Here is a 25965-nt window from a genome sequence, read left to right as displayed (position 1 = left end):
ACAAATTGGGGGAGTGGTGAATTTGGGGAATTAGGTTGTGCTAAACAATCAATATATCTTATAGGGAATAGAAAAGAGGTAACACTCACTCTGAAGCTTAGATAATCTTGATGTCAATATTGCACAAGAAAAACACTAGAAAGGAAAATTATAGGCCAATTCAAGAATACAAATGTAAAATTCTTAAACTATTAGTAAACAGAATTTAGCAATTTATTTTAAAAACCTAATCAATGTAATCTACCATATTAACACAGTAAAGGAGAAAAACCAAATCAAAATGTCATCAAATATAATAAATGTGTGCAACAGATGAAGAAACTGCATTTGGTAAAACTCAATCATCAATCATGATGGGAACTAAACAAAACAAACAAAAAACCCAAACTAGCAAACCAAAAGTGGAAGAAAATGTCTTCACTTTGATAAAGGGTATATACAAAGATCATACTTAATGGTGACATGTTCAGAGCTATCTTTCTATCATTAGGAATAAGATAAGTAGGCTATTATCACTGGTTCTATTCAACAGTGTTATAAAAGTTCCAGCCAATGTAGTAAAGGAAAAGTATTGAAAGATTTAAGAATTGGAAAGTTAGAAAGAAAACAATCAATATTTCAAGGTGGTTATTATGTACATAAAAAAATCCCAGGTAAATTATCAGAATTTATAAGAGTAAATTCAATATTAATGGAAAAAAGTCATATATATTTCCCATAAACCAGCAACCATCATTTAGAAAATATATATTAAGACATACCATTTAAATAACAACAACAAAAATAAAACACATACAGTATTTGGGAAGAAATATAACAAAAGACTGTGTTAACCACTATAAGGAAAATGATAAATCTTTCAACAAGGAAGACTTTAGCAGATACAAATATATACCAGGTTCTTGGATAAAAAGACTCAACCATGATAATGTCAACTTCCATGAAATTATATTCTGATTTAACATAATACCACTGAAATCCCAACAAAAGTGGTTTTTGTTTTGTTTTGCAGAAACATAAGCTGATTCTGAAGTTTACATGGAAGAAATAAGGGCCAAGAAGAGTTGGAAGGAGTAATTTTCACAGAAGCAGAAACCAAAGGTCCCATAAAGGTATGAAAAAAAAAGCTCAATCTCACTGGTATTCAAAGGCATTAAAACCACAATGAGATCTCCCAACATGCCCATCAGATGGGCAATTTTTTTTTAAGTTACAGTGCCTATTTTTAGGATGTAGAAAAACAAGGATGCCCAAATACTGCTGGTTAAAATGAAAACTGGTACAATCACTTTGGGAAACAGTTCAGCATTACCTACTGAAGTTGAATGTGAAACAATGTGCCTATTCTACCACCTACTCATTTTACTGGTGGAAACAAACCCTAGAGCAGCAGTTCTCAAACGTTTTGGTCTCAGGACACCTTTTACACTCTTAAAAATAATTGCAGACCCCCCAAAAGTTTCTTTGTTGATATGGGTTATATTTATTGCTAGTTACTGTATTAGGTATGAAAATTGAGAAAAAGAATTAGACATGAGAACATAAAGCACACAGTCTATCAGCCATCAGAACAATGTCATCATCACATGCCACCCAGCCTCTGGAAAATGCCACCATACGCTTGTGAGAGGATGAAGGTGAAAAAGGAAAATGGTAGTTTAGTATTATGAAAATAGTTTTAACCTCTCAAACTCCTTGCAACGTCTCAAGGAACCCCAGTTCTTGAACTAACTTTGAGAACCACTGCCCAAGACAAATTCTTGCACGTGTGCACCAGACATGTATAAGGATGTTCATAGCTATACTGTACATGATACAAAAACCTAGAAACAACCCCAAACCCATTAATTGGTATATTTATTCTATGAACTACTACACAGCCATAAAAAGGAATAAATTAGTCATATCTGAGAATATAACTGAATTTTGAGCAACAGAAGCAAATCATGAAAAAATATATTCAGCTTTAATATAAAGTTCAAAAAGAGGCAAAACCTAATGAAGTACTGGTGAGGAATATGTCATAGGTTGCAAATTTAATGAGAAGTAAGAGAATGAGTAACACCAAATGCAGAAAACTGTTCCCTGAATAGCAGGCATGGGTATATACAGGAGGCTTCTAAGGTACTGGGAGGCTCTAGTTCTTTGGCTGAGTAGTGAGCACATGAGTGTTTATTTTATTCACGTTTTATACATTTTGTACATAAACAGAATTCCAAAACTCAAAATTAAAAAATAGTAAACTGTTGGCACACCAACATGGCGCATGTATACATATGTAACAAACCTGCACGTTGTGCACATGTACCCTAGAACTTAAAGTATAATAAAAAAAGAAGAAAAAAAATAGTAAACCAAAACAAAACAAAAATTAAAAGACTAGAAAGTCACTTTTAATGGCAAAAACCACAATTACTTTCGCACCAACCTATTAACTTAATAGCCATAGAAGAAACCACAAAGGAATGGGTAATTTTGAATATATTCAAAAACTGAAAAAAGTGAAAGTGACATAAACAAGAAAAGCCCAGACCAATATTAAAAGTCATACTAATAAAAAAATGTTTAAACTACAAATGGATGTAAATGCATGAAAATAATTTACCCTTATTAGCAATCAAAAGCAAACTAAAACAACCATCAGTTAAGAAATAACAACGCTAAATATGAGTAAGGGTGTGGTAAGACTAACACTCTCCTACAAGCCGGCAGGAATGAATATTGGTGCAACTTCCATGGAGGAAGTTTAGCACATATGAGCAAAGGCCTGAACAATATAAACACTCTTAAAACCAATAATTCAGTTTCTGAACATGAATCTTAAGGAAATAATCTCAACTACTGCACAAAAAACTGTATTAAATGAAACTGGAAAGAATCTAAATGTCCACAAAGGGACTATCTAAGACAAAAGATAAGAAAACTATCTTTTATTTATAGAACCAAATATTAAATGGCAATATACAATGTTGCTTACTTCATAAATACGGAGAAATAAAATCATGTCAATAAAAATGTATTTTATAATACACAAAATTATATACGGAATTTTTTTTTTTTTTGAGATGGAGTCTTGCTCTGTCGCCCAGGCTGGAGTGCAGTGGTGTGATCTGTGCTCACTGCAAGCTCCACCTCCTGGGTTCACGCCATTCTGCCTCAGCCTCCCGAGTAGCTGGGACTACAGGTGCCCACCACCACGCCCAGCTAATTTTTTTTTTTTTTGTATTTTTAGCAGAGACAGGGTTTCACCGTGTTCGCCAGGATGGTCTTGATCTCCTGACCTCATAATCCACCCGCCTCGGCCTCCCAAAGTTCTGGGATTACAGGCGTGAGCCACCGCGCCCAACCCAGAATAGTCTTCTAACTTTGTTTTCTTAAGTGTATAGAAAAAAGACTGTAGGCCGGGCGTGGTGGCTCACGCCTGTAATCCCAGCACTTTGGGAGGCCGAGGCAGGCGATCACCTGAGGTCAGGAGTTCGAGACTAGCCTGACCAACATGGAGAAACCGCATCTCTATTAAAAATACAAAATTAGCTGGGCATGGTGGCACATGCCTGTAATCCCAGCTACTCAGGAGGCTGAGGTAGGACAATTGCTTGAACCCGGGAGGCAGAGGTTGTGTGGAGCCAAGATCACGCCATTGCACTCCAGCCTGGGCAACAAGAGCGAAACTCCGTCTCGAAAAAAAAGAAAAAAGACTGTAAACAATGTATCCACTGTTATGACACCTATCTCTGAATGGTAAGTTTATGGGGGTTTCTTCAGATATTTTTGGTATGACCCAAATTAATTTAAATGAATTCATATACTTGTAAAGCCAGACAACAAACCTAATTACAAAACACACAAACCTCTCAATGGCTCTCCATATTAACTAAAGTACAAACACATGACTCTGGTGCCCAAGGCTCTCTACACTATATTCCCACTGTATTTAGCCATGTGTGCTTACCCTCCTTAAGGTTATCAAAGTAGACTTCCTATTACTTTGGAACATGCCCCATACCTTTTGACCTCAGTGCCTCAGTTCAGACTATTCAATCTGCCTGGATCACCTTCTCTACCTGGCTGAGTTCTACCATCTTCCAAAGTTCATGAGAAACACCACCTTTTTAATGAATTTTTTTCTAACTCTGTGCTAAACTAGTCACCCCAGCCAGATGTTATTTCTCTCTTTGACTTTTACAGAAAATATTTCAGCACCATTACCCTTAATACAATTTGCCTTAATTTTAATAGCTATCTCTGTTTTAATGCCTCTACTAGGTTGTAGTAGTTTCAGAAGGGGCTCTACCCTTCCTCCGCTCTTTCTCTAATACTGATACACTGCTTCCCAGAATTAGGCATATAAAGAGTACTCAAGGAACTTAATAAATTATTGTCACAAGAGATTAGTCTCTTTCCTTGGGCATGAGAAAGAGGAAGAAAGAATGGGAAACGTTTCTTATTTGAGATTCAGCATGGAATTTCTCAGAAACAATAAGGAAAAAAATACCATAATTAGGGGCTAATACTTCATTCTTTTTGCCAGCTAAAAATCTATACATAATGGTAACTTAGTTTCTATGGACACAAAAATGTGCTTGGGATTCCTAAGAACCTAACTCCAAAAGCATTTCTGGAATACAGTTTGTGCTTGAAGTGACACACTTGCAGAAAATAAATATTTTCCTTTAGGAAAAACATCAACTTTGCTTAAGTCTGCCTTCAGCCTCTTCTGAAACAAAATATTGTTAATGACAATAGAAAGGGTGAAAGAAAAAGAAGGAAAGTGGATGTTCTAAACACCTGAGTTAATTTCTAAAAGCAAATTCTAAGGGGAAAACACAGGCAAATTAAACAAACAAAACACCCCTTTTATTATCACTTTCCAATTCTACCTTTATTTGTTGTCATATTCCAGGAAACAACTGAAACCTTAAGGTAAGAAGGTCTTCAAAGGCTTCTATTTTCTTTTTCCATGCAAATCTTTAAAATTGGACCAATCTTCTTATGTATATATTTAAGTATTGCTATATTCATTCAGTAAGTATATATTGAGAACTGTGCTGGGCATACAAAGGTGAGTAAGACACACAAGGCCTCTACTCTCAATGTCTATAGGCTGCTACGGAACCCATGTACACTCTACTGGAGGAAATGAAAAACACACAAACCAATGAACAAGATAATTACAGATTACGATAAGGGCTGTAAAGCAGAGAAAATAAACAAGACGGAGACATTTAATAATCAGTGAAGGCCTCTCGGATACATTTAAACACTGAAGAGAAAAAAGGACCAAGCCATGCGCAATACCTGGGTAAAATCTTCCCAGGCAAAGAGAAGTGGAAAAGTCCGAAATTGAAACAGCCCCATTCTGTTTGAGGAACACAAGGCAGTGTGGCTAGTCGTGGTTTTTCAACTGGGGGTCACATTTTAAATTGTGATGTTAAGTTTGTGGGTAATTTCATTTTTTAAAAGGAAGTCAAATAGAAAAAAATACATCGAGAGTCACATGTTTTCAGAAGTATTCTTTAATGAAATTTTGCTTCAGTTATGTGAGTGTGCACGTTTGTCCTGGGTTGCAACATATAACACGTATCTTACTTTGAACGGTGGTCAAATCTGCACTAAGCAAGCAGAGTAGTAACAGATGAGGATGGCGGGTGGGGGCTGGCAAGAGCCAGATCACACATGGCCTTGAATTACAGGCCACCATAAAGAATTGGGATTTTATTCTAAACGCAGTTGGAAAGGCACTGAAGGGTTTCAAGCTGGAGAGTGACATGATCTAACTTGACATCATGGTATTGCCAAAAGATTACTGTAGTGAAAATCAGAAGACATGAGCACTAGTCCTGGCCTAGCCAATAACATCAGGGATTTTGAGCAAATCTCTTAATCTCTCTAGACCTCACTTTCTTCATTTTAAAAATGAGGAGGTTGCCCCAAGATGACCTTTAAGATCTTGTTTATTGCCTAATTTCTGCCTGTATTCTGCTTCCTCCCTTGGGCATAAATAAATGACTATTGGGGTGTTACTAGCTCATTAGGTCGAATTCTGAGTTACTTCTTAAAATATTATAAACCATGTATTAACAGCTATAATAGTTACATTTCTGTAGAAAGCAATTGAAGAAGGATCTCTTTATTGGAACCAGCTATATTATTAGAAATGGGAACTCTGGGTGAAAAGTGAATCAAGTGCTTTTGCAACTCTCTGGAACAAAGTTTGGGGTGTGAAGAAAATTGGCAAGGAGGTATGAAAAGATTTACTGACAAGTATTTGAAACCGATTTCCATATTTGTTCTATGTCATCAACTGATGTATAATCTAGGATGGTTTAAAGTTGCAGGGAACCTCTGCTGAGTACTAGTCAAGATGTAGAAGCTTAACTCCTTTCACAGTAACCAAAATGACAACTGAGGCAAAATATTCACTGAGAATCCACTATATTTTAAGACATGCTAGATGGTTTATGTTTTTTTAAAAAATTTAATCCTACTAACTTTATTATTTGCACTTCACAGATATGAAAACGGGCTCAGAATAGACAAGTAAGCTATGTAGTGGCAGGGTTAGGATTACAATCAATCTTAAGGTAGGCAACATATAAATCCTTATTTAATTCCATATTTACAATAAGTTATTCCGTATGTTTTACAAAATTACTGTACAAGCATTAAATATTCAGTTAAGTACCTGACAACTCAAGTATCTGTGACATCTGGACACAGAATGTTCAACCAATAAATCAATTCTGGACTCATAGGTACTTTGCAAGATACAGTTTGGGATAAGAACTTGTTCCAGCATTGGAGGGCCTATTTTGTGGGTAGCATGCTGGGTTGTATGAAAGCCAAATCAAACAAAATATCCAAGGAATTTGTATACCCAATTAAGTACACATCAATAGTATTATGGCAGTTTCCAGGTACATTTTCGCTAGTGTTGCTGGTGAAAGGCCAGCAGTGGAACCGTGGACTGGACAATGTCACCCGTGTTGTGGGCCTAACAAGTATCCTGCAAGTTCCATAAACACGAGGGCATGCTAAAAACTTAACCGATTTCCAACTTACATTAACCCTTTAAAGGGAGCATGGGACACACCACTTGACCATTTGAAGCAGTGCACACGGCTTGTCATGGAGAGGAAAACCTTTGAGACGTGCCCAGCATCATTCCTGTGAGGGTCGAAAGGGTCCCTAACACCTCCCACAAATACACTCACAAACACTCCAGCAAAGTTGGGGATGCTCACTGCACACCTTTCTTAATACCTGGAACAGAGTACCCACCTGTCACATACTCAGCTTCGAACCTCCTCCGGGTCTCAGAGATGAGCTTGGCTTTATTCTGGGCGTGATTCTGGATGGGAGACACGATGGGACCTTAGATACTACTTGCATCAACCCGCTTACCCTCAACCCAGCCCACCTGCACACGGGCGCTCGGTCCCCGGGCCTCAGAGGCGGCTTCCGGGTCCGGGGGGCCAGCGGCGGTGCAATAGGCTCCTCACCTCTGCCATGATCACCGTCGTGGATGTGATTGCGGTTGTCGCCGTCGCCCGTTCTACCGTCGCCGACCGAGTATCTCATCACCCGGCAGTCCCGCCCAGAGGTAGACAGAGAAGGGTGGGAGGGGGAGGCGGTCGCGTGACACCGGAAGGCGGACAGAAGCGCCGCCGCACCGCCCAATCCAATGCGGACGCCTGGGTCTGGAGGCGGGACCAGGCCCTCAGCCTAGGTCCCATTCGATTCTCGTCTGGCCTCGCCCCGCGACATCCCCCGCACTGCGGTCCCGCCCCCGCCAGCCGCGAGATCGCCGGCGCTTCCCCCGCGGAGCTCCGCCCTAGAGAGCTCGCGGGCTCTCTGCTTTCACAACACTCCCCAGGGCCCCGCCTCCTCAGCCTCCCTTGGCCACCTCTCCTGGCTGGCTTCTAGGCTCCGCCTCCTCTGCGTTCGACGCAGCCTCCGCCCGGCCTCCCAGGATGCAGCGCGCTGGCGGGAGGTTTGGAGCAGATGGATACCGTATCGACGTGGGGCCTCCGGTATGTTGCCGCTGCGTTGAGGTAGGATGGGGCTGGCGAGTCTTCCCTTCCCAGGACTTCGCAGAGGGGGCGATGGGGCTGGATTTCCTCCCCTTGTCCCCGCATTGCGGGAGAGAGGGAAGGAAGCGGGCATCCCGAGACCTGGGTCTGTCATTCCTTGCAATGATAATTGGATTTTAAGTGCTACATTCGCTTGAAGTTTTTTTCATCCCTTCAGTATCCTTCCAACTTGGAGTGTGAGATGCTTAATGAGCAAAATATCTCTGAAATCTTTAATCTCAAATAATTATATAAAGTTAAAAAAAGCGTGTTTCGGCTTATTAAGGTAGTTGTGTTCAGCCGGGGGGGTGGGGGGGTGTGTGTGGGGGGGGCGGTTTTACCACCCAGGGGACCTTTGGCAACCTCTGGAGACATTTTTAGTCACCACTGCTAGGGGCCGGGGGCAAAAGAGATGCTCACTGGCTACTAGTGGATAGAGACCAGGGAAGCTGCCAAACATCCTCCAGTGTACATGAAAATTCACAACAGTTATCCAGCCCAAAATGTCAATAGTGTCAAGGTTGAGAAAGATTTAGATTTAAAGGGACTGGAACAAATTTTATTCGTCAGTTAAAAACAATTGAAAGAAAATAGTTGCGCATACAATATTGCCTTTTTTAAAGTTGAAAGATACTGAAAACTACAAACAAGTTGTAAGAATAGTCCCCCATATTTCCATCAACCGTAGTCATCCATGACAGAATGGCATGTTAGCATCTTTTGTCCTAGACTTTTAAATATATTTACATTTTTTATGGGAAAAAATGAACACATTGTTTAAACGTTGTTTGACTACATCCTTAAAAGATATTTCAGATATAACTAAAGTCTCCTTCTACCTCTACTCACCTATCCTGGACACTTCCTTGTCCAGAATCAACAGCATTCAGAATTTGGCATGAAATGTTTACAGTTTTACATTTTTTTATTTTGGATCATACTGCCTGGGTTTGAATCCTGGCTCTGTCACTTCTTATCTGCAAGCCTTTGAGAAGATCCTGAAACTCCTTGCCTCAGTTTCTCCATCTATAAAATGGGATAGTAACAGTGCCTATGTCATAAGGATGTTGTGAGGAAGAAACGAGTTAATCCAAAGTGCTTAGAGCAGTACCTGGCACTGTTTCTTCAGGAAAAAAAAAAAAAATAGTACATGGCACTATTTCTTGAGAAAGCACTCAGGGACTGTAGTCATTGTAGGTAAATAGAACATATATAATGCTGTTTTATTTGTTTTACATAAATAATATGCTGCAGTGTACATTTGTCTGCAACTTAATTTTTAATTCATTTTATTTTTGAAATTTAACCATGATTATATATATATATACACACACACACACACACATATATAGATAGATAGATCTAATTCATTCCTTTTAACTCTTGTTTGATAGTCCATCTATACTCATTCCCCTATTGGTGTTCATTGAGGTTTTTACTTTTTTTATATTGCAAATATCAGCACAGTGAGCTTCTAGAGCAATGTATTCATTCATATGTGGGATTATGTCTCTGGGTTTATATCTACAAATGAAACTACTGGGTATATGCATTTCAGTTGACTGCCAAATTACCTTCAGAGTCATCTCTCCCTTTTATTTAAGTACTCATAATTTTCTTCTAATTGTTAGCTCTTTTTCCAGTCTGATCTCACTCACACCTTTAACACTGTCACCAGGATCTTCATAACTCAAAAGTACAGTCCTGTGATTTCTGTTTTTGAAGTCTTTCAGTGGGTTATCATTACTTATATGAGAAATTTATAAGTCCTTAATATGACATAAAAATCTTCTTTAGCGTAATCTTCCCAAATCCTCTAATTTAGTTGATCACGATTCTCCCGCATTTACTCACATTTCAGGCATATTAGATAATGTTGAAAAAGGTGAGATCAATTCTGTATAGGACCCAATAAATAACTTATGTAGGGAGAAAAAAACTTTTAACAGTGGCCCTATTTTGTAGGAAAGTTAATTTACTTTGGTTAACAATGTCATATGTCTTGGAAAAACAACATCTATCATTATTATCTTCATAAAATTATGTTCAGTATTATTAGGTGCCATTTTAGTTGAGTGTCTTAATTTTACTTTTTTCCCAAGGATACTTTCTCTTGGTCACAGTTAATATGGTTTCTTAGACTTTTTGGATGTCATCTGCTCTTCTAGGATAATCTGGAACCACACTGATAGTTTATTTAAAGAATTGTCACATTTATAGGGCCAAAATGATTTATGAGCATTTAAAAAGAATGAACAACATATTTATTAAGAGGGGGGGCAGTAAAGAGTAGATGAGGATGATAATTTTATTGCCAGCCTACTATTTTTATGTTAGCATATGCTTGTATATATTATCATTTTTCTAGTATACACACACATCTGTTTTAATTTTATGTATAAAATAGATAGTCAACTTTGATGTATGGTAATATAGAACAGGAAAAGCTCAAATTAATTATGTAGTATTTTATAAATAATCTACTTTCTGGTCTCCACGCCCCGCCCCGCACCGCCACCCTGCCCCGCACCGCCACCCCTAGTTACTTCTGTATCTTCTGCAGCCACTGTTATAATGTTAATAAGTAAAAAGTCAAATAGCCCATAGGCTAGAATAGTAAACCTGGGGCCCTGATAAGCAGAGTTTAAAATAGTGAGGGGTTGCTTATAATTGGACTAAGAACCTGTAAATTGAACCTTAGTTTGATTTGTTTCCAGATATGTTTCTATTTTTTTTAAATGCCAGTTATTTCATGGCCTGCAGGTTTTATGAACATATCCCAAGAACTTTAAAAATAGATGTTGCAGCAGCAATACTTAATATCTACTGTCTTAGCAGTTACACCTCAATAAAGCTGGGAAAAAAGTTAAAATTCATTTTAGCAATGAATTAAATTTTAATGATTGAGTATTACTTAGATATAATAAATAGCAAACATTAAAAACAAATGAGATTGAAAACATGTTGCATCAGTATAAAATATAGTGGATATGCACATATATGTAAATTCAATAAGTCTTGCAAAAACTTTTCACTCAATAGTCATAAATAGTCATTTATGTTTTTAGATCAGTTTAAGTTCATGAGAATAAGTTTGCTTTCTGCCTGGAGATCGTATTGAAAGCAGGTCGAATTAGGATTATACAACAGAGTTTTGAATGCCATGCTAAGCTTCATAGCAATGATTTGCAAGCTTTTTTTCTCTACACCATTCATATGTTCAATTCACAGTGTTTAGCATCTATTTTTCCAGGTAGTAATTCAAGAATCACAGGTCTATTGAGAAAGGCAAGGGGCATGTAAGCTTTTGGATTAGGGGGTGGACAGTGACAGGATCAAGTGTGTGTTTTAGAACAATTAACTGATGTATTAAATAGCATAAATGAGTTGATATATTGGAGGGAAGATAGATTAGATTAAGGAAGACTAATTAAGAAGCTTTTACCTCAGCCTGAGAGATCACAGCCTGAACTATAGTAGTGGCAACTGGAACAGAGAGTTGGAAGATAGATGTTTCTAACTTAGGGAACTTGATGATGACATTTAAAGAACAGAATGTAAGGAGCCTAACTTTCATAAATTCTGACCATTTTATAATCAGGTTTTCCTTACTCCTATCACACTTAAGTTATTGGTAAGTGAACCAGAGCATTGTACTGATTAAACATTAGTTGTGATATTTAACATTAAAATAATAAAATTCATACAGAGGTGATTTTTGTTTTTGATATTAAGAAATCTGAAAAACTTTGAATAGGTAGTAAAAGATGATGAATTCTTAGAGCTTTACCTCAGAATGTGTAATTTTCATGCTTTTCCTTTCTAGAAATCTAGGAAACCTGACATGGGACCTTTGGTAAATACATTATTATTCATACATTTTGATGGAATATAACTAATATGTTTATTTTCTCTAAACCATAGTTTCATAAGTACAAGCCAGACCTTTGATTTACCTACCCTATCTTCTTTACTGATGAAGCTGAAACTACTTTGTGATGCCTATTGTCCCAGATCTTTCTGTTAATTGCCTAACAACAAACCAGTAAGCCAATGACTTCTTTTTTTCTTATTTACCTGTTTTTATTGACACATTGTAATTGTATATATCTAGAGAGTGCAATTTGATGTTTTGATACATACATATATTGTATAATGGTCAAGTCAGAGTATTTAGTGTATCCTTCCCTCATGAATGTATCCTTTCTTCCTGGTAAGAACATTCAAAAACATCTAGTTATTTTGTAATAAGTAATAAATTACACTTTAGTGTTAACTATCTTTACCCTACTGTGCAATAGGACACTAGAACATATTCCTCTTATCTAATTGTAGCTTTGTACCCTTTGAGCAACCCCTCCCCATCCTCCCATCCTCTCTCCTTTCCCCAGTCTCTGATAACCAGTATTCTACTCTCTGCTTCTATGATAGCAACTCTTTTAAAAAAAATTTTAGATTCCAGCTATTAGTGAGATCATGCGGTATTTGTCTTTTTGTGATTGGCTTATTTCACTTAACATGATGTCTTCCAAGTCCACCCATGTTGTTACAAATGACAGGATTTCATTTAATTTTGTGGCTGTATTAATAGTATTCCACGCTATGCACCAAAAATTGGTATATACACCAAATTTTTTAATCCATTGATTCATTGTTGGACACTTGGGTTGATTCCATATTTTGGCTATTGTAAATAGTGCTGAATAAACATGGGGGTGCAGACATCTCTTTGACATTGATTTCATTCCTTTGGATATAGACCCAGTAGTGGGATTCTGGATCATATGGTAGTACTATTTTTAGTTTTTTGAGGAACTTCCATACTGTTTTCCATAGTGGCTATACTAATTTACCTTCCTACCAGCAGTGTGTAAGTGTTCCTTTTTCTCCACGTGCTTGCCAACCTTTGTTATCCTTTGTCTTTTTAATAATAGCCATTCAAACTGAAATTAGGTGGTATCTCATTGTGGTTTTGATTTGTGTCTCCCTGATGATTAGTGATATTGAGCATTTTTTTTGTGTGTGTACCTTTTGACCATTTGTGTGTCTTCTTTTGAGATATGTCTATTAAGTTATTTTGTCCATTTAAAATATTGGGATATTGCTGTTCTTTATATATTCTGATATTAATCCCCTGTCAGATGTATAGTTTGCAAATGTTTTCTTACATTTTGTAGGTTGTCTCTTTACTTTTTTTTTTTTTTTGGCTGGGCAAAAGCTTTTCAATTTGATGTAATCTCATTTGTCTCTTTTTGCTTTTGTTGACTGTGCTTTTGAGATCTTATTTAAAAAAATCCTTGCCCAGCCCAATGTCATAAAATGTTTCCCCTATGTTTTGTTCTGGTAGTGTAATAATTTCAGGTTTACATTTAAGCCTTTAATCCATTTTGAGTTGATTTTTTATATGGTGAGAGGTAGGAGTCTGGTCTCTGCATATGGATATCCAGTTTCCCAGCACCACCATTTATTGAACAGACTGTCCTTTCCCCAATGTGTGGTTCTTGGCACCTTTGTCAAAAATTAGTTGGTTGTTGGTGCATGAATTTATTTATGGCCTCTCCATTGTGTTCCATTTGTCCATGTGTCTGTTTTTATGTCGGTACCATGCTGTTTCAGTTACTGTAGCTTTATAGTATATTTTGAAGTCAGGTAGTATGATGCTTTTAGGTTCATTCTTTTTGCTCAGTATTGCTTTGGCTATTAGGGGTCTTTTGTGGTCCCATATGAATTTCAGGATTGTTTTTTCTATTTCTGTGAAGAATGTCATTGATATTTTGCTAGACATTGCACTAAGTCTATAGATTGCTTTGGGTAGTATGGCCATTTTAACAGTATTAATTCTACCAATCCATGAGCATGGGATCTTTCCATTAGTTTGTGTCATCTTAATTTTTTTCATCAGTATATTATAGTTTTCATTGTAGAGATCATTGACCTTTTTGGTTAACTTTATTTCTAGTTATCTTATTTTTTTTTGTAGCTTTTGTAAATGGAATTGTTTTCTTGATTTCTTTTTCAGATAGTTCGCTTTTTAGCAAATAGAAATGCTGCTGATTTTTGTATGTTGATTTTGTATCCTGTGACTTTACTGAATTTATTAGTTCTAACAGTTTTTTGGTGGAGTCTTTAGGGTTTTCTCAGTATAAGATTATGGCATCTGCAAACAAGGACAGTTTTGCATTCTCCTTTCCAATTTGGATGTCTTTTATTTCTTTCTCTTGCCTAATTGCTTTGGCTAGGATTTCTTGTATGCAGTTCATAGAAGACTGAATAAAGAGATATCAACAACTTTTTTTTATACATGTGTTCAATATTGAGGATATTCTTTTATCCTTTATTTTACTAATTCTCTCAAGTTACCTTTCTTACAATGAGTTTGTTCAGAATAAGGGAATGCATGCCAGGGCAGAGTGGTAGTTAAAAGTGTAGACTCCAGAGTCAGAAGGCCCCTTTTCCAAACTAGCACCATTGCTGATTTCTGTTAACTGTGGATTAGTGTTGTAACCTTGGAAAATTTTCTTATCTTCTTTAAAATAAGGCTTTCTTGCTTAAAAGGTAGAATAATAAGGGTACTTATTTTAAGACAATAGTTATTAGAATTAAATAATGCATGTATTGTACCTGCCATATAATAAGCTTGAATGATTGATATTATTTAATTCTTGTGTTCATTGTAATAAATTATGTTAATCCTCTATTTTTTCTAATTTGAATAAGAATAGTGACTTTGTTGGGTCATACAAATGCATACAAATGCATTGCCTTTGTAAACTAAGATTTATTTTTATTAATCCTATGGAGATTTTTTAAAGCCTTGTTACAGCATCTCCTATTTTTATTCCTGGGGTTTCTTTTTTGTCTTAGAGCCTGTATAGGCTCCTGTCTCTAGAAAGCAGAAGCCCAATTGCCTGGGCTGTGGGAGAAGTATAATTGAAAATCAACGTATTTGGGGAGAGTGAGTTGCAAGACAAGTAAACCCCTAATTGAATTGTCATTCTAAAGGGGCTAAGGCAGAGAGTGGGAAACCACATTAGAGTTGTTAGGTTTGAAACAGAGAAGTATAACCCTTAAGCAATTTTCTGAGCCAGAACAAATATCTGAAGTCACTTTTAATAGAGCATCTAAAGCTTTAAATATATGCCGTTGACACATTCAGTTATCTTTTTTGATATGGTTATTTGAATTCTTAGCAAACTTTTTTAAAGCGTCTACAGAAATAATATTTAGAATTTTTTTTATAAGTATGATATTGTCAAAATAGTATAAAAAGCTTAAAATGTTTACTTAATAAAATGTGTAGTTACCTATGTTGTAGTTCTCTAACAGAAACGTGTTTTCTTTTCAACCCTTCCTACTTCATGGCAGTTTTTCCTCATTTCTTTTTTAGGTTTAGAAACATCAACTGGAATCAATTTGCATTTGAAAATTAGATCAGCACAAAGACTTGATATTGTGGAATGACTAGCAAACAAGCAATGTCATCTAACGAACAAGAAAGGCTCTTGTGTTATAATGGGGAAGTCCTTGTTTTCCAGTTGTCTAAAGGAAATTTTGCAGATAAAGAGCCTACAAAAACACCCATATTACATGTCAGAAGAATGGTATTTGACAGAGGAACAAAAGTATTTGTTCAGAAGTCCACTGGATTTTTTACCATAAAGGAAGAAAACTCTCATTTAAAAATCATGTGTTGCAACTGTGTGTCAGATTTCAGAACTGGAATTAACCTCCCTTACATTGTGATAGAAAAAAATAAAAAGAATAATGTTTTTGAATATTTTTTACTAATCCTTCACAGTACTAATAAATTTGAAATGCGTTTGAGTTTTAAACTAGGCTATGAGATGAAGGATGGCCTAAGGGTCCTTAATGGCCCTTTAATTTTATGGAGGCATGTCAAAGCATTCTTCTTTATCTCTTCTCAAACTGGCAAAGTTGTTAGTGTGTCAGGTAACTTTTCCTCTATTCAGTGGGCAGGGGAGATTGAAAATTTAGGTATGGTTTTATTGGGACTAAAGGAATGTTGTTTATCTGAGGAAGAATGTACTCAAGAGCCTTCAAAATCAGATTATGCAATTTGGAATACCAAATTTTGTGTATATTCTCTTGAAAGTCAAGAAGTATTAAGTGATATATACATTATTCCTCCTGCTTACAGCAGTGTGGTGACTTATGTACATATTTGTGCAACTGAGATCATCAAAAACCAGTTAAGAATATCTCTCATTGCCCTTACTCGAAAGAATCAGCTGATTTCATTTCAGAATGGAACTCCTAAAAATGTGTGCCAGCTTCCATTTGGAGATCCTTGTGCAGTTCAACTTATGGATTCAGGTGGAGGAAACCTCTTTTTCGTTGTATCCTTTATATCCAATAATGCTTGTGCTGTATGGAAAGAGAGCTTTCAGGTACAACACTTATTGTAATAATAATTCAGTTGGTGGTCTCAGACCTTTTAAACATTTGTATAGTTCATAGAGTTCATTCTGGAGTCTTATTGTCTAAGTCAATTTTCAGTTCTGTACATGAAATGATAAATATTACATTGTTCTTTTTTCTTAAGGTTATCTGAGTACAACCTGATGGTGTTTTTTTTGTCTTGCCATTTTGAGTCATAAAGCCTTTGAGTTGTTTGGAAATGTGTAAATACATATGTAACTAGAATTATGTATTTATTTTTCTATTATAACTTTCTAATTTTTATTAATATGATAGTAGATGTGCATTTTCACTTACAATAAGATTATTAGTGATTTGACTAGATAGATAAGCCTTCCTGGAAAATTCAAATCAGTTTTTCATCTTTTTATTTTTATTTTTTTATATTTTTTTTGAGACAGAGTCTCGCTTTGTCATCCAGGTTGGAGTGCAGTGGCGTGATCTCGGCTCACTGCAGCCTCTACCTCCCAGGTTCAAGCGGTTCTCCTGCCTCAGCCTCCCGAGTAGCTGGGATTACAGGCATGTGCTACCACACCTGGCTAATTTTTATATTTTTAGTAGAGATGGGGTTTTACCATGTTGGCCAGGCTGGTTTCAAACTCCTGGCTTCAAGTGGTCCGCCTGCCTCGGCCTCCCAAAGTGCTGGGATTACAGGCGTGAGTCACCATGCCCGGCCAACTTTTTAAACATTTATAATTATCTATTTAAATTTACTTGTTGTCTCTGATTCATTTCTGAAAGTGAAATATAGAGAAATTCCTTGAAATCTGGAGAGACAAATAATTGTTCTCCATAGACAAGTGGTAAGCATTACTTTTTCTAAAAACTTACTCAGAGATTTTTATTATGTTATATTTTGAAATGCAGAACTGACCTTTGAGCAAGTATTCACTTTTTTAAGTTTGGAAATTGTTCTAAAATATTCACTGGTATTGAGTGTTAAGTAACAGGTAAAAAGGCACAGAAAACCAATAGGAAATTAGAGTTTTGTAACTGGGTGTCTCCACCAATAATATTTCTCTGACTCTGTATTTTTGGGTAATGTTGCATCCTCCTGGTTGAAAATGTATTCAGTTATGTGATTTGAAGTGTTTATGAATTAAGACAAATTATCATTACTAGTTAGAAATGTCTCTTCCAAAAGTAGTACACTATACAACTTTAGTTTTTGTGCTACTTAGGAGAGAAAAGCAGATATTGCCTTATTTTGTGTGCCCTATCCATTTAATTAGAAGCTCAATGAAAATTTTTATCATTATATTATCACCTCTATGTGGAATATTGTTAAATGTTTTAGAAAGTTTGAAATTCATTTTTAAATGTGAATCATTATTGTTTGTGTGGGGGGAGGAATGTCAAGTTGGAATTATGAATCAGGCTTTGCCTTACCAAGTACTTTTATATTAATAGGGATTATTTTGAATTTCTGTAATACGTATGTATCCTCTATAATACATAGAGAATGCAAAAGGAAAATAATTTGAAAGCTATCCTATTTTATCTTGAAAGCAATCTTTTAAAAGCGCATTATACATTTATTTGAAAGTTATTTGGAATTGTCTTTTTCCATTCTCTTTTCCTTTAAAGAAATGGTAGGGGAAAAACATCTGGTATACCCTATAGTGTTTTACTGTAGTCAAGGTAATATAATAGAAAGAACACACGTACCCTGGGTTTGAATCCCAACTGAGCCACTTACCAGTGTTACCTTAAGGAATGTAATTCTTGTGAACTCATTTTCCTCCTTTATGAAATTTGGGATCATTCTGACTCTGAGAGGGGAGAATTAAGTCAAATGACATTGTAAAGTGTCTTGCACAGAGCTTGACACATAGGAGGAACTCAGTTAGTAGTAGCTATTACTCTGTTATATTACTGTTAGACAAAAGCCAGGGCTGTCATCAGTTACTTACACTTACTCAAGATCCCCTATTCACCTAGATAAGGAAAAAACAATTCCTTTATGTGTCATTAATTGCAATCGTCACTCTCTTGAAGTGGGTCCCCTGCTTGGACCCTGTAAAGCTTTGCCACTAACATGTTACCCAAGGCAGGAGACTGCATCATTCCCTGTAGGTGGACCTATAATTGCTGCTTCCCTGACCCGAAGTTGTATTCTAGTGCACTCTCTCTACAATGGACCACTATCTTTTCCACACGTTACTTACCTAAGTCCCTACTGACTTACCCCCTAAGGTGCTTCAGGAATTCTGTACTTCTAACCTGCTCTCAAATGCCCTGTTTTAAAAGCTCTGGAATTCACCCTGATATCTACAAGTAAGTGCTTCAAAGTTGCCTCTAACCCTGCCACTTTGGGCGTATTCAGGTCCTGCTTCTATCTTGGTGTTACATTTATACTCAACTTCTTAAAAAAAAAAAAGGGAAATATTAGTTTAGGGTAAAATATTCAGTTACTTTAAAAACAGAAATAAGGCTGGGCACAATGGCTCATGCCTGTAATCCCAGCATTTCAGACTGCCGAGGCAGGCAGATCACTTGAAGCCAGGAGTTCAAGAGCAGCTTGGCCAACATGGCGCATGCCTGTAGTCCCAGCTACTCAGGAGGCTGAGGCATGAGAATGGCTTGAACCTGGGAGGTGGAGGTTGCAGTGAGCTGAGATCGCCCCGCTGCACTCCAGCTGGTTGACAGAGCAAGATCTGTCTGCAAAAAAAAAAATTAATTTAAAAAAACAGAAATAAGAGCTAAGAATCTAGAAATAAAGTGGGAGTAGAAATAATTATGCCAAAAACTCAGGTTAAGAGAAGTAACTACACTTGAACAATTACCTTTAGTTTTAACAGTTAAGGCAAAAAAGTAAATATGATGGGTTTTACAACTGAAGGGAACATACTACAAGGGAAAAGATTTTTTTCTAACATTAAGTTCTGAGAAGAATTTACTGTTTGTGGTATTTTGTAAAAGGTTTTGAGTAATAAGGTGAATACCTTATTAAATAATAAGGTGGGTCTTTGATAGCAGTTTTCCCCCAAAATAGAAAGCAATAGAAGCAGTTTTCCTTTGGGTTGGCTATGGATCCATCCATCCATCTATTCTTTTATTACCTCATTCCAAGAAGGAATTAAGCCAGCTTACAAAGATAGGTAAAATACAAACAAGCATAAATTAGAGTAAATAATGAAAACAAGGTTAGTGTTTTCCCAGATCAACACTTCATAAAAGCCCGAGGCATGATGTTTAATGTGGTAATAGGACTTGAAACAGAGCTGAATCTAAAGGAATACATGATTAACTTTTTTCTTCTTAGGCTTTCTCTCTTGGGTAGGAATTGTCTCTGCAAGTTTTGACAAGAATCTATGTGGCAGGCATTTCAAAATTGAGGTCATTGGCCGGGTGTAGTGGCCCACGTTTGTAATCCCAGTGCTTTGGGAGGCCAAGGTAGGAGAATTGCTTGAGACCTAGAGTTTGAGACCGGCCTGGGCAACATAGTGAGACCCCCATCTGTACAAAAAATTAAAAAATTAGCTGGGCGTGGTGGCATATGCCTGTAGTCCCAGCTACTTGGGAGGCCGAGGTGGGAAGATTGTTAGAGCCCAGGAGTTCAAGGCTGTAGTGAGCTGTAATTGTGCCACTGCACTCCAGCCAGGGCAACGGAATGGGACCCTGTCTCAAAAAAAAAAAATCCATCTGTCAATAAAATTGAGGTCATTGTCAAGTATACCTGAAGCATAGCTATTGGTGTGTTGTTGATAGAGGTTAATGTATTCTGGTGCTGTGCTGTCTGATATGGTAGCTACTATCCAGATGTAGTTATTCAACTTTTGAAATGTGGCTAGTCTGAATTAAAACATGTTGTAAATGTCAACCATCAAATTTCAAAGATGAATAGAAATGGTAACATCTCTTAATTTTTTAATGATTACATTGAATTAAAATGACAATATTTTAGATATATTGTGTTAGATATATTAAAATTTCATCTTTTTACTGCTACCAGAAAATTTAAAATTATATGCCTTATATTTGGGGCTCACTTACCTTTCTATTGGATGGCACTATTCTAGAGCTATAGATTGCAAATATGTGTGTGTACACATGCATACATACATAGTTCTGTGCTGTTTGCCTGCCAAACACATTCTTATTACTAATGTCTTTTCCCATAGTCCATTATACTCCATGATACTGGTGGGAGAAAGGGAGGATATGGGTTTACAGAAAAGCTGTCTCTCTGCACAAGTGAAGAATCAACTTTGGCAATTAGCCTTATAGGGGAAGATTCATATTTGGGTATGTGGGTTGAAGAGCCTTACTTTCATTCTTGCTCTAATGTGAGCTACCTTCCTGTATCATCTAGATGATGTATCTGTGCTGCTGGAATTCTGAGAAGGGGTTTTAGATTTTTTGTCTCAGGGAAAAGGGGGATTTGATCCTCATGGTGTTAGTTTACCCTGGGACCAATCTTGAGGCTTTCAGCTATATGTACCATTAAGAAGTTGTCCTCTATTTTAAACTTGAGGTCTCAGGTTCTGATATAAACTGACCAAATCATTCCGTGAGGCTAGGATGGTTCTGGCTGTCCCACTTTTAGGACCCCTCACCTGTGTACCCGATACTAGCTGTATTCCCCTCCACACCCACATCAGGGTTTAAGGTTTTAAGCTCATCTTGACTCTATTATAGGTTATTTTCCATTAAGAGCTCTTAAGGTGTCTACTAGTACTGTCTGGTTACCTGACAGTACTGCAGCTGTCAGGTATGCAACAGAATGCAACTGAATTCCTTGGGTAATTTGTCTGATCATAAATACATATACACTAAGACTTAATGGGAATGAAGGTCATCCTTAAATTAGCTGTGCGAGAGAAGGAATCTTCACTAGAGTTTGACTCATGATAAATGTTAGAATTTCCAAAGGTTAGTCATGAAAAGTGTTAGAACTTATAAATAGATTACAATAAAATTTTGATATAGAAATCAAGAATGTGACAGTCCCTGGACAAACCTGAATAAAATATTAAATCTAAGTACCTTGCTATTTATAAAGTTTTTATAACTCTTATATTTCCTCATCCCCTAATATCTTTATTTTATTTTAGTTTTTACTATTTTCATTACTCATTTATAAGATTGAGTTTTACAAATGACAACTACATGAAACAAAAGGACTTAATTTATTTATTTCACATTCGATTTTTTCTTGTCTACTCCTCCTATAATGCTCCCTTTCTTTTAGGTTGCTGCTAAATGGGAAAAACTTAGCTTAGTACTGATAGATGACTTTATTGGAAGTGGAACTGAACAAGTACTCCTACTTTTTAAGGACTCCTTGAACTCAGACTGCCTGACTTCATTTAAAATAACGGATCTTGGAAAAATAAACTATTCGGTAAGTTCTATTTACTTATTATATGGTATTTTAAGAACCATTTTAGAAAATTTAAGTGCTCAAAAGCTTTGACCTATCATTTAAATATTGGTGGTTTTATACTTAAAATTTTGAACTTTAAAAATATATAGATTGAATCTTTTAAATATATACATTGAATCTCCTTTCAACAAATGTTATACAAATTGACCATGCTTTTGATATAAATTTGAATTGTAGTACATTTGGTGGTCACTTAAGTGACAGCAGTACTATAAATTAACTTTATTTTTGCTTCTGAAAATCACATTTTATACCAATAAATATAATATTGGATTAAATAAGGAATAAAATGAAGCAAAATTGCTTTAGTAAAGGAAGTAACAGCTCACAATATCTTGAGATATTGGACATAAGGGAAATTATGCCCCTGAAGTTTCAGATCAATACAAAATCTCTCTAAGCCTCAGTTTTTTCATTTGTAAAATTAGCATAATTTTAATTTTCTCCAGTTATGGGATTTTAGGATTTTTTAAAAAGCTAATGAGAGCCCAGGAATTCAAGGCTGCAGTGAGCTATGATTATTATGTTGCACTTCAACCTGGGTGTCAGAGCAAGACACTGTCTCTTAAATAAATAAATGGAAAAATGTTTACTCTTTAAAAAGAAAGCTAACCAGCTGATACTTTGTAAAGCAGTATATAAATGTTAGGTGGTAGTAGTAGGAATCATAATAATTTTTTTCTAGTTACAAGAAGATGATGGGGAAAATATATAGTTTGCCTTTGTTTATTTTTTTTTTTTTGGAGACAGAGTCTTGCTCTGTCATGCCCAGGCTGGAGTGCAGTGGTGCAATGTCAGCTCACTGCAACCTCCGCCCCCTGGGTTCAAACGATTCTCCTGCCTCAGCCTCCCAAGTAGCTGGGATTACAGGTGCGCGCCACTATGCCTGGCTAATTTTTTGTATTTTTAGTAGAGACAGGGTTTCACCATGTTGTGGGCAGGCTGGTCTGGAACTCCTGACCTCAGGTGATCTGCCCACCTTGGCCTCCCAAAGTGCTGGGATTACAGGCGTGAGCCACTGCATCTGGCCTATAGTTTGCCTTTTATAAAATAGTGTGTATTTTATACACACTAGGGAAACTGTTCTGACTGGATATACTTTAATTGTATTTTGTTAGTTTTGTGAATTTTCAATTGTTGCAAAATTTCAGTCTTAGTGTATTTATTTATTTATTTATTTATTAGAGTGAACCATCAGATTGCAATGAAGATGACTTATTTGAAGACAAACAAGAGAATCGTTACCTGGTGGTTCCACCTCTAGAAACAGGACTGAAAGTTAGTGTCTGTTTGCTTCTTTTGCTTTTCGATTAGTGTTATTCTAAATGAAGGAAAGAACATTGAAAGAAAGGTCCTTAAAGTATAAGCAACTTGGTGCTTGGGTAAAAATGGTATTTCAAAGGATCTTTATCTTTTTGGCACCTCTGTACAAATATTATGATACTACTTATAAATGTATCATCTAAACATACCTTTTTTGTAGTAAGACTATATAGATTTAATAAGCCTCATGAGACAAAATAGAAGCAGCTCACTTTTGAAAACACATTCTTTCTGGGATCAGTATACCACAGTATCTTTTTAGAGTAGCAGCGAATATGATAAATCATAATGCATTCCAGACATGAACAGTTTACTCTCATATTTTCCATAAAAAGCTCCACAAAAGAGTTTTTATTTTTTTTCCCAAATGTACCAAGGTAATGAACATTCCCTGTAAAATACTGAGGCTTTGCAAAGAAATGTCAAAACAAAACAAAATAAAAAAAACCTAATGATTGTCTGTGATTCCACTATTTTGCAATAACCAATTTTAACACTTTGCCCTGTATATTCTTGCAGATTTTTAAATGAATATACGCATTACATAGAAATGTGATTATAAGATGTATGTTCTTTTGTAAGCTGCCTTTTTTGTTTATAGCATTTTCAAATATACAGAAACATTCCAGGAATACAGTGATTATCTCTGTATCCCCAATACATTCAATTCTTGTTACTTTTAAAAATCTTATTGGCCTCATGTGTTTGTGTTTGTGTGTGTATGTGTGTATATATTTTTGTAGAACCATTTAAAAGTTGCACATGTTATATTTCACTCATAGGTATTTCAGCAGGAATCTCCTAAAAATAAGGATATTCTCCTCATGCAACTATAATACCATTATCAAAGTTAGAAAATTGTTAATGATCCCTTAATCTTATTTGCTATCTTGTCCATATTCAAATATATTTAGTTATCACAAAAATGTTTTTATAACTGTTTTTTCCAGGATCCAATCTATCAAAGTTTTTACTCGCATTTGATTATATCTCTTATTGGTCTTTTTATGTAGAATAATTCCCCCTTCCCCCTTTTAAAAATTATGCTAAAGAGGAGGCCACGCTAGTTGTATCCTCTCTTTTGGATTTGTCTCTTTTCTTGCTGTGTTATTGAACTTTTTCTTCTTTGCCTAGGGTTGGAAAACTTTTTCTGGAAAGGGCCAGGTGGTAAATATTTATACTTTGCAGGTTGTTTTAAAATTATTTTGCAACTATTTCATTATTAGAGTGAGTTCACTTTAATAAATGCTTATTGAACACATATTAGACATGAATTTGAACAATAGATAAACATCATAACAGACAGAACCATGAATGAAGACATTGATCTATTCAAAATTTTTGTACCCTGAACAAAGTAAATGTAATAAGACAAATTGTGAAAAAAGAAATTGTAATACCTGACAAAATATTAATTTTCTTAATATAAAAGTACATTCTTCTATAGTATTTTTGTGAATGTATAGTGAGTGACCCAACCTTCTCAGAGGAAAAGTTATTATAGTTGCTAAAATATGAATTACTTATGTCTTTTTACTCTTGCAGTTTCACTTCTAGAAATCTCTTCTAAGGATGAAGATGATTTTACAAGAATGTTTATGTAGTATTTATAAACTACAATATTGGTCCAAATCTAAACATACATCATTAGGAGTATGATAAGTAAATTGTGATGTGCCTGAACTATGGAATACTATGTAGCTGTCAAAAAGAATAGTGTATATTTTTATACTGATTTAGAAATGATGCCAAAGTACTTTAATTTATGAAAGCATGACTTTATGAAAGGCTTAATTTATGAAGCAGGACCAACTCTCCTGATTAAAACTGAAAATGATAGATGAAGTCTCCTTTAAAAACATTCTTAGAAGCTTCAAAAAGCTGACACTCTAAGAATAAATTATCAAATCAAACTTTCAAGGCTGGAACCCAGAGAGATAAGGAGAACACTGATGCTACTTTTGCCCTGGGAGCATGTGTATTGAACTTAAATTGGTGGTGCCCCAGGCATCTGACAGAAACAAACAGAAAATCCTGTCTGGAAACACACATTCATCCTAGCCCTCATAAATCTCACAAGTAATTTTTCAAAGAAAATGAGCTGTCCACAGAATAACTAAGCACATAAAGAAAAAAGGCATCGTGAGTAATTATTCACAGAAAATAACCAAACAGCATCTCTTTCAAGCAAAAACACACTGAAATAAAAAACTCAATAGATGACTTTAAGAGTTAAAGAGATGAAAGAGATACAGAGCAAATTAGTGACCCCGAATATATGAGAAAAATTATCCAAAATGTAGCACAGAGACAGGGAAAATATGAAAGGCTTTAAACAACATTAAGGGAAGGAAGGGAGGAATGGAGGTGGTGGATAAGAGATAGTTGAATATCCATTTTGTTTCAAGTATCCATATTTTAACAGTAGCTTTCAATGTAGGTAATAAAGTTCTAAATGCTGGAAGGCCTTTTAGAGATGAACAAGCCTACCTTTGCACCATTTTGCACATGACGTAACAAATAGCCAGAAAGGTTACGTGACTTGCAGAGCTAGAACTAGAGTCCATTTCACTGTTCTTTCTCCCCTGAAATTTGTATTCTAATCAGTTACTGGAAGGGGAGATGGGGAGACCAGGACCTTAGAGAATCTTGTACACATGTACACAGATGTTCATAGCAGCATTGTTTATAACACTGCACAACTGAGCATAACCCAAATACCCATCAATTGGAGAGTGGAGA

General features: G+C 36.0%; 2 protein-coding genes across 17 annotated transcripts in view, besides 1 other annotated feature; one reads left to right on the top strand and one right to left on the bottom strand.

The window, feature by feature from the left end:
• The window catches only part of MOSPD2 (motile sperm domain containing 2), a 48907-nt gene extending 41288 nt beyond the window's left edge, over positions 1-7619 (bottom strand). For both annotated transcript variants that reach the window (NM_152581.4, NM_001330241.2), the window contains exons 1-2: positions 7503-7619; positions 7282-7351 (exon numbers count right to left, since the gene is read on the bottom strand). In NM_152581.4, coding sequence (NP_689794.1) covers positions 7282-7351; positions 7503-7511 — 79 coding nt within the window. In that variant the 5' untranslated portion in view covers positions 7512-7619. The remainder of the gene's footprint in view (positions 1-7281; positions 7352-7502) is intronic.
• Positions 7652-7881: a silencer, noted in NCBI's record as "silent region_20671". NCBI's record gives its function as "represses an Ori minimal core promoter by ATAC-STARR-seq in GM12878 lymphoblastoid cells {active_cell/tissue: GM12878}" and the evidence as "EXISTENCE:reporter gene assay evidence [ECO:0000049][PMID:35858748]".
• FANCB (FA complementation group B) overlaps positions 7971-25965 on the top strand; it is a 183546-nt gene continuing 165551 nt past the window's right edge. For 4 of the 15 annotated variants that reach the window (XR_001755672.2, NM_001410764.1, XM_017029356.2 and 1 more), the window contains exons 1-5: positions 7971-8054; positions 11997-12117; positions 15460-16480; positions 21706-21858; positions 23086-23178. Coding sequence is in view for 10 of the 15 variants with exons in the window: in NM_001410764.1 (NP_001397693.1) it covers positions 15530-16480; positions 21706-21858; positions 23086-23178 (1197 nt within the window). In the remaining 5 variants the exon portion in view is untranslated. Of the gene's footprint in view, positions 12118-15459; positions 16481-21705; positions 21859-23085; positions 23179-25965 lie in introns of those variants that run through there. The other 11 variants (XR_007068184.1, XM_047441922.1, NM_001324162.2 and 8 more) reach the window with 5 other exon arrangements.

This window comes from Homo sapiens, chromosome X (genome assembly GCF_000001405.40).
Source record: "Homo sapiens chromosome X, GRCh38.p14 Primary Assembly".
In the NCBI taxonomy this organism is placed as follows: domain Eukaryota; kingdom Metazoa; phylum Chordata; class Mammalia; order Primates; family Hominidae; genus Homo; species Homo sapiens.
This window is presented reverse-complemented; position numbering and strand designations above follow the sequence as displayed.